Raw genomic sequence first — 16,533 nt, 5'->3', positions numbered from 1 at the left:
ATTATGAAAGCTTTCAGAGGATAAAAACGAAAACATCAAGGCAATTGTTAACTCCAGGGAAAAGAAAAAGTTGCCCAAGAAAGAAAGGTAACCATTGTATATTGCATAGATTAGCAGTAAATAGTGTTAACTGCTTCTCAGGAGGACTTATTGATATTTGGGGAATTTTTTGTGCAGCAGTGTTCTGCATATTGCAGAATTTATGGCATCCCTGACCCTCACCCACTAGATGCCAGTGATCCAGTTTATCCTCCTACCGCAATATTCTGACAAACCAAAATGCTGCCCCACACTTCAAATTTCCTCTTAAGGGGCATTATTGAGCCACGTCAAAAAATCACTGGTTTACAGAGTAATAATAATGTAAATCCTGATTATTAAATCAAAATTAGTGGATTGTGAAGATAGGGTAAATAGGAGGTGCACAGTCAGAGAACAAAAGCCACACCCTCATTCTTCACAGCAGCACGTCAATAGATAATGCCAAAAACTGACTAGTCATGATTTATTCAGAGATACAGAGGTAAACACAACAGATTAATTAAACGAATTGAAGGTGGCTGTTTTCAGAGAGGGGGAATAGGATGGTAAAGGAATGGTTGGGGAATGCTATTGTTTCTTGAGAGGACTTACAGAATTATTTGATTTTTTAAAAAAAGCATGGGAAAGTATAATTCCGATTACATTGAAAATGAGATTGGGCGTAGCACTGGAAGCAGGAAGATAGTTAGGACGATCAATTTTTATCTATCATCTATCTATCTATTATCTATCTACTTACCTATCTCTCTCTCTCTTTTTTTTTTTTTTGAGATGGAATCTCACTCTGTCACTCAGGCTGGAGTACAGTGGTGTGATCTCAGCTCACTGCAACCTCTGCCTCCTAGGTTCAAGAGATTCTCATGCCTCAGCCTCCTGAGTAGCTGGGATTACAGGTGCACACCACCACACCCAACTAATTTTTGTATTTTTAGTAGAGATGTAGTTTCACCATGTTGGCCAGGGTGGTCTCGAACTCCTGACCTCCAGTGATCCACCTGCCTCAGCCTCCCAAAGTGCTACCCACCTATCTCTATATCCATCCATCTATTTATCCGTCTGTCCATCCATCTGTCCGTCCGTCCATCCGTCCATCCATCCATCCATCTATCCATCCATCCATCCATCCATCCATCCATCCATCCATCCATCCATCCATCCTTTTATCCACATGCCCATTTTACAAAAGGTGAAAATGTGGCTTAGCAGGCTTAAACAGCTTGGTAAGTAGCTCCAGGTCACAGTCAGCAGAGGGAGAAGCCAGAGTGAGCTGAAGCAGTTCAACTCTAAAACCGAAGCCCTGATCCCTCTCATCTGTTGCATGTGAAAGGGCAAGTTAGAGGAAATGGTGAAAGGAGCAGGTAACAGACCTGAGGGAACATTAGTTATTCTCTGAAGATTGCTTCTATCTTTGAGACTGGTGTTGCCTGGCTGACCCTGGCAGATGTGATTGAAAGAGCTTTCTGCTCACAGACCGCTGTAGAAAAGTGCATGATGGAGGGAACTCTGGTTCAAGCTGTTCTTGACAGGCACTCCCAGAGCTACCAAGAGAAGAAAGGGAACTAGCACTGAGTCCCTGGATTTAAATGCCACCTTCTCAGAGGGCCTTTTATCAAAGATTACATACTTCAAATGGCTGATCCCTGGGGATCTGTCTCCAATAGTATGATTAGTGTATTTAGAACATCTTTCCTTGTCGTTTTCTTTTGTGTAACTTCAGAACTATCCTATATAGTATCTTTCTACGAATTTATTTGACAATAATCTCGAGAATAGTTGGTTTTGTTTTTTGGCTTTTATTTCCTTTTCTTGACACAAGGGAAATATCATCCCTTTCCCCAAGCACCCTGTTTTTAAACTCTATCCTATTTGTCACATCAGATTTTCATATAGACATTATTGTTATTTTATTTTATTTATTTTATGTTTTTGAGATGGAGTCTTGCTCTGTCACCCAGGCTGGAGTGCAATGGTATGGTCTCAGCTCACTGCAACCTCTGCCTCCTGGGTTCAAATGATTCTCCTGCCTCAGCCTCCCAAGTAGCTGGGATTATAGGTGCCTGTCACCACACCTGGCTAATTTTTGTATTTTTCATAGAGACAGGGTTTCACCATGTTGGCCAGGCTGGTCTCGAATATCTGACCTCAAGTGATCCACCCACCTCGCCCTCCCAAAGTGCTCGGATTACAGGTGTGAGCCACCATGCCCAGCTGACATTGTTGTTATTTTTATAAAAATATAATATTTTCTCTCTGAAGAAAGTTGGAAAAATATTAGAAAATTACAAATAAGAAAACAAAACCCACCCAAATTCTACCACCTAGAGACAACCACTACTTCTAACTATGTGGACGCGAGCCTCTTCATACGCATGAGAACTCCTTGAGGGTGTGGTCAAGAGTTTCATCTACAATTTTCTAGCCCCAGTTAGGGCCCTGGCACAACTGACACTCAAGACATGTTTGCCAAAGCTTCAGTTAGGCGTGCAGTATTTAAGTAAAAAGTATATTTAAAAATGTAAAAAGAGCTAGCCCACTTGGGTAGAGAGATGAAGAATCTTTGAAAAGTCCGTATATCAATTTTAAATCACTAAGCACATTTTCAAGATCCTTTCACTGTCCTCCACCATACTGTTCCTTTTCCAGAGCTTATTCCCTATGATGGGCAACATTCTCTTTGGGGTCTCCTGCAGCGTGAGCTCACTGGGCTCATTCCCACCTTTGAGGCTTCCCTTGTCTAGAATCCTCTTTCCTCATGCTATTTTGCATATCTACAGCCTATCCATTCATCTAGTTTCAGCTCAAGTCCAATCTTCTCTCTACGCATCCCTGTTACTTGGCTTCATTTATTTCTCTTTCTTTTCTGGATTCTGCAGCCCGTACAACCTATAGCTTAGCCCTTCCTTGTGGGCTGACTTGAATCATCTACCATCATCATTGCACCTAGGTTTGACTTCCTTCTTAGCAGAGGGCTAGGCACAAGGCAGATAGGCAACAAAAATAAACGTATGTTTAATAGCATTTACTCAGAACAATTAAAAACAGCTAATCCTAGGTTTGGGAGGTAGTTTTCTTTTCTTTCTTTTTCTTTTCTTCTCTTTTCTTCTCTTTTCTCCTTCCTTCCTTCTTTCCTTCCTTCCTTTCTTCTTTTTTGTTTTTTTTTGTTTTTGTTTTTGTTTTGTTTGAGATGGAGTCTCGCTCTGTCACCCAGGCTGGAGTGCAATGGCACAATCTTGGCTCACAGCAACCTCTGCCTCCCAGGTTCAAGTGATTCTCCTGCCTCAGCCTCCTGAGTAGCTGGGATTACAGGTGCCTGCCACCACATCCGGCTAATTTTTTTTTTTTTTAATTTTTAGTAGAGACAGTGTTTCACCCTGTTGGCCAGGCTGGTCTCAAACTCCTGACCTCAGGTGATCTGCCTGCCTCGGCTTCCCAAAGTGTTGGGATTGCAGATGTGAGCCACTGCATCCAGACGGAGGTAGTTTCTCGGTAATTCTGAGGTGGGGTCTAATAATGCTGTTTCAAGGAAGTGGAATTCCAGCTACTGGGCTTTGGGATGACTTTTTGGATAGAGCACAAAAGAGATTTGAAATAGAGAGCTGGATTCAGAAGGCTGAGGTGGGAGGATTGCTTGAGCCCAGGAATTCGAGGCTGCAGTGAGCTGTGATCCTGTCACTGCACTCCAGCCTGGGCAACATAACGAGACCCTATCTCTACAAGAAGTGTTCTGAAAATTAACGAGACGTGGTGACCCATGCCTATAATCCTAGCTACTTGGAAGACTGAGGTGGGATGATCACGTGAGCCCAGGAGTTCAAGGCTGCAGTGAATTATGATCGCACCACTGCACTCCAGCCAGGGCAACAGAGCAAGACCTTGTGTCTAAAAATAAAAATAAAAAAAAAAAGAAATACAAAGCTGGCTTATGTGGAGCCTGTGGACTAAGCACAGGGTAACACCTGTGTGAATTGAAAAGGGCAGCTCACCTTCTGAGCACATAACAGGATGAGAGAGCTGTCAAGTAAGTGGGAGAAAAGCACAGTCATGCAATCTAATGTAAGAACTTTGCACACAGAAATGTTTCCTTAAGCTCTTAGAAAACAGCTTCCACAAGAGCAGATGTTTCATGTGGAGTCTGTGAACTAGGGAGGTTTGCAGGGTGAGAAGAATGAGCCCACCTGCCTTGCAGGCCAGCCCTGAGTTGCACCTGGGTCATTCGCTCTTGTGAAATGGAAGACCTGGCAGGGTGTGGTGGCTCATGCCTGTAATCCCAGCACTTTGGAAGGCTGAGGCAGGCGGATCACCTGAAGTCAGGAGTTTTAGACCAGCCTGGTCAATGTGGTAAAACCCCATTTGTATTAAAAATACAAAAAATAAAAATAAAAATAAAAATTAGCCAGGCATGGTGGCACATGCCTGTAATCCCAGCTACCCAGGAGGCTGAGGCAGGAGAATCACTTCAACCCAGGAGACAGAGGTTGCAGTGAGCTGAGATTGTGCCACTGCACTCCAGCCTGGGCGACAGAATGAGACTTGTCTCAACAAACAAACAAACCCAAGACCTGACCACTAGGGACCACTTCTTAGCTCCTCTTTTATTTTGCAATTACCCCTACAAATGGGTATGTAAATTTAACAGCAACACAGTTAAAGGTGCCAGCTGAAGCCCAGGCTGCCTCCCCAGCTTGTTTTCAATCAGGCTTTATGGAACAGTTTCTTTCAAAAGCCCCGTCCTCACTGCTCACTGACACTAATCTGTGGTGGTTTGAGTTAACGGGTTCTAAGATGGTCTTTACTTATAATGCCTTTTCTTCTCCCACACTCCTTCTGTAAGATATTTCACCTCCCAAAGTTGGTAGTTCGCTCCCGGGCTGATGCTCAGAGTGTGGAACTTGAGGAGCTGCGGTGACATCCTGCAGCCACACGGGAGGTGGCTCCTCAGGGGCGATTGCTGGCTGTGTCACCACCAGGGGACACCGGGCACAGCTTGAAGCTTGGGGACAGGGAGCTGAGAGGCACCTACGGTTAGAAAAGCATTTCCTGTATCAAATTGGCTTCCTGGGAAATTACCAGAGCAAATGTGGTGAATTCTATCGATTCCCCCGCAGGAGCTTCCTTCTGGTCTCTTTGTGTGTGCGTTTGAATGAGACAACAAATTAACTGTTCACATATAAAGAGTCAACAGATAACTTATAGGATACCATATCGCTATCTTTGGAAGAAGCTTCCAGAAACAGTTGACTCCAAGACTCCTGCTGGCCTTCTGGCCTTGAGGGATGGAGCAGGAGCAGATACTGACCTCGACATTTTCTCTGAGCCTGTGGTGTGTTTGTGGTTGTTTGAAATCTCTGAATATCTGCCTCCTTTAATAACTATTTCTTGAATGCCAAGTGCAGGGCACTGTCCTGGTGGTGACAGTGGTGGTGTGTATGTTGGGATGGAGTCGGGGGAAGTAGAAAATATATAAAATACCTCTGCCCTTGAGGAGCTCAATTAGTAGGGGAGATGAGACACATCCACCCAGCTCTCAAGCCAAGCAGAATTCATTTTGTGAGGTTTAGGGAGGTAAAGTGCTGTGGGATGTCTTAGGCAGTTTGGGCTGCTATAACAAAAATACCTTAGCTAGCTGTGGTGGCATGCCTAAAGTCCCAGCTACTCAGGAACCTGAGCCTGGGGATCCCTTGAGCCCAGAAATTTGCCCAGAGACTAGCCTGGGCAACATAGCAAAACTCCATCTCTACAAAAAAAATGTAGAAAATTAACAAAATTAACAAAAGTATCTTAAACTGGGTGGCTTATAAAAAACAGACATTTATTTCTCACTTTGAGAGACTAGGAAATCCAAGACCAAGGTGCCTGTAGAATTGGTGTTTGGTAGGGGCTCAATTTCTGGTTCATAGATGATGCCTTCTCTCTGTGTCCTCACATGCTGGAAGGGCCTCTTTGGGGTCTCTTTTATAAGGACACCAATCCCATTCACGAGGTCTCCATCCTCAAGACCTAATTACCTCCTAAAGGCCCCACCTCCTAGTGCCATCACTTTGGGAGTTAGGATTGTAACATATGAATTTTGCGGGAGGGCACAGACATTTGGGTGTCAGGAAGAGAGAGTGGTGCTGAGGCTGGAGAGTCTGGAAAAGGTGGCATTTGAGCATGGCTTTGAGGGGATTTCAGAAAGGTTTTGGGGATTGATGTGAACAAATGCAGGTCAAATAAAGCTCCAAAGTGTGAAACCCAAAACAACCTGTAGTTCTATCTAGCCAAAGAGGGTACAGTGTAGAATAGTGGGTGAGGAACACGGACTCCAGAATCAGACAGTTTGGGTTCCAATTCTGCCTCTACCAACTCTGGCTGTGTGACTGTGAGCGATCATTTAATGTCCCTCAGCTAAACTGTCCTCATTTGGATGGAAACCCCTAACACTGCCCATAGTGTCTCACAGGTCATGTTCATGACTGATTAGGAAACCATCTTGGCTTTGACAGACGATGGGTGCCTCAGCATCCACGGGATTCCCCTTCTTTCCCGATCAAGTCTCCAGGCTGGACTTCAGCAGTACTGGGGAGCCCCTTCTCTCTCTGCCTTCGTCCTCTGATCTTTTCTCTTCCTCGGTCCACTCTTTGCACCTCAGAGTCCCAGCTCCCTCTAGCGGGTGCCTCCCAACTTCATGACCAGCATTTCTAGATTCAGATACTGTAGGTCAGAGAGGCCTTAGGTCTTTTCCATTCTGTAAATCAGAGCATCTGCAAGATAAGCCAACTTTTCTTGCTGATGTTGGTCAGATCCTCACAGACATCAACATTCACAGAATCTCTCGCTATCATACTAAGTTAGACCCTGCTTCCACTCAGGGGTGAGGAAGGGGAGTGATGAAGGAACCAGACTTGTGTTTTTCCACACATAAAATAGAGAGAAGGAAAGTACTTACCTTACAGAGGCTTTGTAGGATTCAAATGAGATAATGCAAGCAAAGCCCATAGCGCAGTGCCAAGCACAGAAGAATCTTTCAACAATGATTATTGTTAGTGGTATTATAGCTATATCCCGAGGGTCTACTCTATGGGGACTGGAGGATCTTGGATAGTTGTGATGGTTCAGTGCTAATATTTTTCTAGAATCTCTCCTGTACCTATGCTAGGCCCCTTGTTAGCCGCTTTACCTCAGCTGTTTCTAAAAACCATAATGGTTAGTATTACATTCATAAATATTTTATTATTTTTGTTTGCACACAATCTTATATGTTTGCAAACAACTTGACTCTGGACAACTTTAGCCAGAGGCGTTTTATCAGGGAGCATTGAGGTCCCCCATAGAATCCTAACAGCTGGACCACAAGATTCAAGAAGGGTCAGAGCCTGGGCAACCCCAGGGACCTGAGCGGCAGGACTTTGTTTATCTTCTCCCCAAAAGGTTACTATGAATGTGACTTCAATTCCAACTTTCTGGTCCCAGTTTCCTCATCTGTAAGCAAAGGTGATATTACTAGTACATAGTACCTAGATGTATTTTGAGGATGTAAACAAGTTAATAGAAAAGAGTGCTTAGAACAGTGTTTGGTACACAGTAAACCCTATCTGTGTTTGCATTATTATTATTATTATTATTATTATTATTATTATTTGCACTAAAGACTCTCAGGTTTCTGCCTTTCAGTACGAACATCCAATTTCCAGGAAAGAGAAATGAGTTGTTTTATATTGGGCCAGGTGTCACCTCAGGCTGAGTCAGGTTGTAGCATATGGGTGGTGATATGCTTGGGCTTTGTGTTCCTACTCAAATCTATCTTGAATTATAATCCCCATAATCCCCATGCATCAAGGGAGAGACCAGGTGGAGGTAACTGGATCTTGGGGGGCAGTTTGCCCCATGCTGTTCTCATGATAGTGAGTGAATTCTCTTGAGATCTGATGGTTTTATAAGCGTTTGGTAGTTCTTCCTGCGTTCATTCTCCTTCCTGCCACCCTGTGAAGAAGCTACCTTGCTTCCCCTTCACCTTCTACCATGATTGTAAGTTTCCTGAGGCCTCCCCGGCCATGCTGAATTGTGAGTCTATTAAACCCCTTTCCTTTATAAATTACCCAGTCTCGGGCAGTTCTTTACAGCAGTGTGAAAACAGACTAATACACAATACAGGTGGGAAGATTACTTGGTACAGTCATGACCCCTTGGGACCCATACCTCTCTGTTTGCAGAGACGGCAGCCCCCACAGAAGCTGTCTACTGCAGTCACTAGTCCCATTTTACAGATGAGGCAACTAAAGATCAGATATATCTGCCTTCATGCTCAAGGTCACATTGAGTCATCAGTGAAATGTAGAACCTAGATTGAAATGTAAATTTCTGTGCCTCCGAAAGCCCACAACCTCCCCATCTACAGTTTACTGTGTTCTCTTGTGTCCTTCTAAGCCATTCTAACCAAGTATCTTTGAATCAAACTCATGATGTGGCAAACTCACTTGGAGACACAGTAAGTGGTGAAGGGTAGCAAGAAGACCATGATATGCTAATACCTACTTCACAGTCAACTGAAGAGAGAAAACCTGAAGTTCATTTTCCTATTTTAAATTAGGTTACCCAGGCCATTAAGCCAGTAATAACAGAGTTTTAGATTTTTGGACAGAGTGTACAATAGCCAGAACTTATTGTTATGCAAATGAAAGACAGACATTCAAGGTGAAATACCCTGGGTCCAACTTAAAACTAACCTTGTTGCCAACAACAGCCATATAAGGAAGGATGAAAAAAACTTTTAGGCATTTATCTTGGCTTCATTTCACCATATAATTATCTCCTATATGCTGTCTATTTGTGATGAAACCATCTATTTAGTTTCTTAAAATAAAAAAAATTGTCAAGAAGGACAAGTTGTCTTGGCTTTGAAGCCGGTACTAATGACGGGTCTTTTTTATTATGAAAATCATTATCTCAGTGTAACTGTGTCCCTTTCTTTTAATTATATAAACACAGCTCATCCAGTCTGATGGTGGCATCACAGTGAACGGATTTTAGGAGGCTGTGCAGAAAATCCTGTGAGTTCTGGAGGTCCATGGGTTATTTTTTAATTTTTGGTTTTGCCAAAGAATATTCTTGAACAGCAAATCACAAAGGAAATGCATAGGTCGTACATAGACTTGTGCTTCTCTGAACACCCTTTGCTTTACCAATCCACTGAACATTCCTTATGGGCAGAGATCGTGTCTCTGTTGCTTATGATTTTAGCCCCAGTGCCTGACCAAAAGTTATGTGCTCAGTCAGTATTTCTCAAAGTGAGTTGGATTCCAGGTACTTTGGCTTTGGTTACCATTGTCATCACTATCATGCGGATTAAGTAGCCAGATAGGCCAGTCGTCATGATCAGTATTTTGGGGGGCACGTTAACTGAGGCTGAAAAAAGTCAATTTCCTTGTCCCCAAATTAAAAAGTCAATAAATGTCCGCGCGCGGTGGCTCATGCCTGTAATCCCAGCACTTTGGGAGGCTGAGATGGGCGGATCACGAGGTCAGGAGATCGAGACCATCCTGGCTAACATAGTGGAACCCCGTCTCTACTAAAAATACAAAAATCAGCCGAGCCTGGTGGTGGGCGCCTGCAGTTCCAGCTACTTGGGAGGCTGAGGCAGAAGAATGGCTTGAACCTGGGAGGCAGAGCTTGCAGTGAGCCAAGATCTCGCCAATGCACTCCAGCCTGGGTGACAGAGCGAGACTCCGTCTCTAAGTCAAAAAACAGAGGCTGGAATCCAGGGCTCAGGTCTCCAAACTAGATAGTACCAGTCTCTCTTGGTCTCTGTTCCCCAATCTCTGCCAGCAGGAATGGTATATGGGGTGCTTTGTTTCCACCCCCTACACCAGATGGCAGTGATGCCAAAAGTCTTGGAAAATGATCTTTAGTCTGTGTGAAATCCTCATAGGATTGTTCCAATAGGAAAAAATTTAAAAATTAATAATAAAAAGGTATTTGGAGTGGATTAAGATATCTAGCTCTCAAATATTGCCTGTTCTCACATATAAGTGGAGGCTAAATGATAAGAATATACAAACACAAAGAAGGAAACAACATCCCACTTGAGGATGGAGGGTGGGAGGAAGGAGAGGAGCAAAAAAGATCACTATTGAGTACTGCGCTTAATACCTGGCTGATGAAATAATCTCTCCAACAACCGCACATGACACGTGTTTACCTATGTAACAAACCTTCACATATACTCCCAAACCTAAAATAAAGTAAAAAATATATATATATATATATACCTAGCTCCCCAAACCAAGCCAGCATTTATTTCCTAAACCCAGAGTACTGATATTCATTATGATTTCATGTTTTTTTTCTTTATAAGACATCGTTAGGCTCCTGTTTTGTTTATAACTTTAAGATGATCAATAATATACAACCCCGTGGTGCCCTCTAACCATTTTGTCTATTGAATTGAATTCTGAACTCATGACAAATGTATCTAAACTCCAAACACTGTCACACTGCTTAAGAAAATATTTATCTTTTGGCCGGGCGCGGTGGCTCACACCTGTAATCCCAGCACTTTGGGAGGCCGAGGTGGGCGGATCCGAGATCAGGAGATCGAGACCATCCAGGCTAACACAGTGAAACCCCGTCTCTACTAAAAATACAAAAAATTAGCTGGGTGTGGTGGCGGGCACCTGTAGTCCCAGCTACTCAGGAGGCTGAGGCAGGAGAATGGCGTGAACCCGGTAGGCGGAGCTTGCAGTGAGCTGAGATCGCGCCACTGTACTCCAGTCTGGGCGACAGAGCGAGACTCCATCTCAAAAAAAAAAAAAAAAAAAAAAAGAAAATATTTATCCTTCCCAATCTCCCGCCCCAGCTTCTTGAATTGTTTTGCCCTCTTTATCTGATTCTCTTTCCGTCTTGATGTTATTTCCTTCCCTAATTCCTCTAAGTCTGGATTATATTTATGGCACCCTCAAGGAGCAGTTGTGTGCGTGCTAGAGATGGCTTATATTGGCTCGCTAGAAACAATTGTTAAATTTTTAGGAATTTTGCAAGCTGATTATGAAACCTAGCTGTTATAAAAAGGTAAAATTGTTTAAACTTAGTCTTTATATATTATTTATATATGTTTATGTTATTTAACATATTAAAACAGGTAATAAATATGTAAAACATCACTTTTTAAAATTGTTATTTATTTTTATTTTTGAGACGGAGTCTCGCTCCCCTGCCCAGGCTGGAGTGCAGTTGCATGATCTCAGCTCACTGCAGTCTCCGCTTCCTGGATTCAAGCAATTCTCCCTGCCTCAGCTTCCTGAGCAGCTAGGATTACAGGCGCCTGCCACCACACCTGGCTAATTTTTGTATTTTTAGTGGAGACGGGGTTTCGCCATGTTGGCCAGGCTGATCTTGAACTCCGGACCTCAGGTGATCCTTCCACCTCAGCCTCCCAAAGTCCTGGGATTATAGGCATGAGCCACTGTGCCAGGCCTGCCAGGCCAAACTCATCACTTTCCAAGGATTGGACTACATTCTATTGTCATCTATGCTCTTGGGTTTTTTGTCTATTGTATTGTATCTGTATGGTAGAATTACTCTATAAAGATGTGCTGCTGTCCATTCCTTCCCAGCTCTGTATTTAGTGATGTCACATTGGTAACTTGAAATTGGTCTTGGTAGGCGTACTTTCACTGTGGGAATTGAAACTGTACAAAGCAAGTCTTCGTAGAGCCAGTTGTTAAACATTTGTCAGCACACACTGCAGTGGTGAGGCTGTAGCCATTGAAGAGTGACATGGTAGGCTTTGAGTCTCTGTCAAGCAGTCGTGTCACCTGGGGTAAATTGCCTAATCTCTCTGAACTGTAGTTTCCTTGTCTGTAAAATGGATTTGTTGTGAGAGTCAAACAGTAGAATGCCTATAAGACATATCAGAATTCTTTCTTCCCTCATCACATGGATTATGCTTAAAAACTGATTGCTATTGTACTTGTTAATACTGCAGCCTTCTCTTTATGTAGTGGGAAGAAAATATGTCTTTTCTGAGATAGATATGGCTGCTTTTGTCATCTGCAGAAGTTGCAAACCCTTGTTTTATGGGTAGATATTTCTATTGTTTAAGAATATGACTTGATGCAGCTTGAGGGGACCTTTATGGACAGAAAAGTGAAACGCCTCCTTGACACAACCTATTTGGGTGACATTAAGTACAAGATAGAGCTGACTTCGTCTGTGTGATACAGGGAGAAGAATTTTGAGATTCCACGGGCAATTCAGGAAGTAGGACTGAAAGCAAAAGCAGAAACATGCAGAGAATTAGAGAGCTCCGAGAAGAGTGTGTGGGCAGGGTAGGGAAAGGGGGCTACAAACACGGAAGCAGATGAGGACTGCAGAGAAATCCACTCAATGAGAAATTTTCCAAGGTTGGGATGGATGGGATGTCCAACTGTCAAGGTGAAGTTGTTCCTGGTCTTGGTTTTATCTTCTGCCATTACTGCCAAACCTAATAAAAGTGTGGGACAAGGCCAGATGCGGGGCTCATGCCTGAATCCCAGCACTTTGGGAGGCCAAGGCAGGCGGATCACGAGGTCAAGAGATGGAGACCATCCTGGCCAACATGGTGAAACCCCATCTCTCCTAAAATACAAAAAACTAGCCAGGCATTGTGGCATGCACCTATAGTCCCAGCTACTCAGGAGGCTGAGGCAGGGGAACCACTTGAACCCAGGAGGCGGAGGTTGCAGTGAGCTGAGATCATGCCACTACACTCTACCCTGGTGACAGAGCAAGACTCAGTTTCAAAAAAACAAAAAACAAAAAACAAAATGTGTGGGACATTGTGTTAGTGGGGCTTTGGGGAGTCAGTACGAACCAATTAGAAAGGACATAGGAGATTCAATGGAAGGAAAAGTTGTAATAAACATAAGCTGCACTCCACACCCCTAATTTTCTGGGAATCTACAGAAATCTTAGTGGGAGCACTGGGTTTCCCGTAGAATATAATATTAGTTAAATATCATTATTCAAGAATTCAATAGATAGAATACTCCACCCATGGCTGGAGAGTCAAGGTCCAGGACAGTTGATCTCAAATGAACTGCACATGGAAATTGGAGCCATTTTACTGAACTATTAAAGGAAAGTCTGGAAGGCTCAGAAGACATTTAGGCAGCATATTTTTTTTTTGTTTTGTTTTTTGAGATGGAGTCTTACTCTGTCACCCAGGCTGGAGTACAGTGGTGCAATCTAGGCCCACTGCAACCCCCACCTCCTGGGTTCAAGCCATTTTTCTGCCTCAGCCTCCCGAGTAGCTGGGACTACAGGCACCTGCCACCACAGCCAGCTAATTTTTGTATTTTTAGTAGAGACGGGATTTCACTGTGTTAGCCAGGATGGTCTCGATCTCATGACCTTGTGATCCACCCGCCTCGGCCTCCCAAAGTGCTGGGATTACAGGTGTTAGCCACCACGCCTGGCCCAGGCAGCAGATTTATGGGTTGCAGGAATCAATCTCACCCAAATTATACACAAATATTTACCCAATCTGTATTTTTAGTCCTAATTTCTCTCAAGCTATATTCTACCTGTTCAACTGCCTCTCTTGTGGACCTCTCTACCTGCACCTCAAAATTAACACATGAAAATCAAGGTTGGTAACTCAGCTCCAGAAACATGCTCCTCCACGTTGCCCATTTTTATGAATGTACCATTTCCCTCCAAGGCATTTGAGATAAACAAGTACTAGAAATACCAACACGACACTTCGTGTCCCCATAACCCAGTACATCAATTAGAAGGGTTGCTATTGATTGACACCATTCCCTTTTCTCTAAAGGATTCTTGATAGTTATAAAGCATTTCTGTCCAAACTCCCTCCCTTGACTCAGACAATAAACTTTTAAACAACCAAATTTCTCCTCATTTTACAGATCAGGAAACCAGTACTTAGCAGAGGAGTGGTTTGCTCATTGTCATCCCATGACCAGGGCCTTGCTGGTCATCTTCTTCCTGGGCCAGGTCCTCTAAGACCCATGGCTCTCCCCTTGCCTGAGGGCCAGCTCTACCAGGACCCACCTCCAGATGCAGGTTTTCATTGCTTTGCAGCATTGATTCTTTTTTTTTTTTTTTGAGATGGAATGGAGTGCAGTTGTACGATCTTGGCTAACTGCAAGCTCTGCCTCCTGGGTTCATGCCATCTCCTGCCTCAGCCTCCCGAGCAGCTGGGACTACAGGCACCCGCCACCATGCCTGGCTAATTTTTTTTTTTTTCGTATTTTTAGTAGAGATGGGGTTTCACCATGTTGGCCAGGCTGGTCTCAAACTCCTGACCTCAGGTGATCCATCCACCTCGGCCTCCCAAAGTGCTGGGGTTACAGGCATGAGCCACTGCGCCTGGCCTGCAGCATTGATTCTTACAGAAAGAGCTTCCCTGGTGGTTTTCACGTGCAGTCAATGTTGAGACTGTTCTAGATCTTGACTCTCCAGCCATGGGTATTCTATCTATTGAATTATTGAATAACGACGTTCAACTGTCATTTTCCTAAATGACAGAACTAATATCGTTTTCCTAAATGATATTAGTTGGCTACTACTGAACATGTACTAGTGATTCTAAAAAGAAAGAGTCATATTTATTACATTTAAGTTTTACTTATTTCTGCCTGTACCAGTGTGATTGCTGCTGTGAGATTTAGTAATGGCTTACACACATTGCTGGCTGAGATGATGCCTCTATATTGCTTCCTACAAGTGTTTGGCATTTGGATGCTTTTCTTTCGGCAAGGGAAGCTTTAACACGAAGAATCAGAATGTTTTAAGAAAGGGTTTATTTTATTTGGAAGTGGAGTCAGGGAGAACAAAAAACAAGAGGCACCGCTCATGGGATGACGATGAGCAAGCCACTCCTCTACACTGAGTACTGGTTTCCTGCTTAATTAAACGAGACGTTCCCTGAAAGGGCAGGTATGTGATTCTCAATGTACAGAGACTAAGCCAAGTGTCTTAAGGACTTGGAGTGAGGCTTCGTCTGATGCTGGAACTACAAGGTGAGTGCCCAGTGTCTGATCCCATTATTGTTGATCGGTGTTGGTTCCTTACGCCCTCTCTGTTTCCACCTGGTAAGCATCTATGCTTTTCTCAGTCCCACAGTAAATACCATTTCTCTTATCATCCTCTCTGAGAGGCCTTTCCTGGCTCACTCAGGTTGGTAATTTATCCGTATCTGTGTTGCTGTAGCATCTCAAGAGAACTTCTTTTTTCACAGGTGTCGTGTCATTATGATAGTTTTGTACTTGTCTCCCCAGCTAGGCTCTGGGATTCTGGTGGGCAGAGATAATTCATTTTCATGGCCCGGGGTATGCCCAGCGTTTACCACATGGGAAATGCCCACAAAATGCTTCTTGGAATGACTGGCTAAATGAATCAAAGGGTCAGCTAAGCAGGGTGGGATGTGTGGGTAAGTAGAAGGGCCTGAGGAACAGTGTCCAAGTAGCTAGGGGCATATTGTCCTGATTGAAACTTTAGAGAAATGATGTCTTTGAACGGAGAGTAGAGGGGAAAGCATGTGTCATCCAAATGGGCTTTTACATCCCGGTGAAATGGACTGAAAGCCACGCATAAAACACAAGAGCTGTTCCGTAGGCGCATTAGGTGTGACTCTGTTCGATGCTGGAATAGACTGAGAGAGGGTGGGCAGGAGTGCCAGGCATGCTATCCATTATCCAGAAATTTTTCCCACATGAGTGATACAAATACTCAGGACTCACTGCCCTCCCATGATTGTCTCAGGTGACATCATGAGCGGTACATTTTCTCATCGAGAGATGTATCCCTTTAAATGACCTAGGAAAGAAACAGAGATTGTGAATCCCCAGGCCAGCACATTGCTGCAAAGTAGCCAAGTTATCAGCCTCTCAGGTCTTCAGAGTTATTTTCGCTTTTCAGTGCCTCTTTAAGTACTAGCGATGAAGGGCGTGTCAGAGACAAGAAGTTAGCATGGTGAACTTCGGAAGACAGCCTTGCCCTAGCCTTCTAAAGAGCTGAGATCATTCTCCTGGCAGGCCCAGAGTAATGAATGCTGTCTTTGAGAGCATGAGGGTTTACAAGATATTTGTATGTGCAATCTAGGAGTGAAGAAAGTTAATGGAGATGGTTTACTGTTTTTCTCTTCTTCTTTGGAGGAATATTTATATATATATATTTTTTTGAGACGGAGTCACGCTGTCTCACAGGCTGGAGTGCAGTGGTGCGATCTTGGCTCACTGCAAGCTCTGCCTCCCGGGTTCATGACATTCTCCTGCCTCAGCTTCCCGAGTAGCTGGGACTACAGGCACCTGCCACCACGCCCAGCTAATTTTTTGTATTTTGTTTTAGTAGAGACAGGGTTTCACCAAGTTAGCCAGGATGGTCTCGATCTCCTGACCTCGTGATCCACCCACCTTGGCCTCCCAAAGTGCTGTGATTACAGGCGTGCGTCACCACGCCCAGCCTGGAGGAGTTTAATTAGGTGTCCTGGATTTGGAGAAGGACAGATTGAAG

The sequence above is a fragment of the Homo sapiens genome, chromosome Y (genome assembly GCF_000001405.40).
Source record: "Homo sapiens chromosome Y, GRCh38.p14 Primary Assembly".
NCBI classification, from domain to species: domain Eukaryota; kingdom Metazoa; phylum Chordata; class Mammalia; order Primates; family Hominidae; genus Homo; species Homo sapiens.
This window is presented reverse-complemented; position numbering follows the sequence as displayed.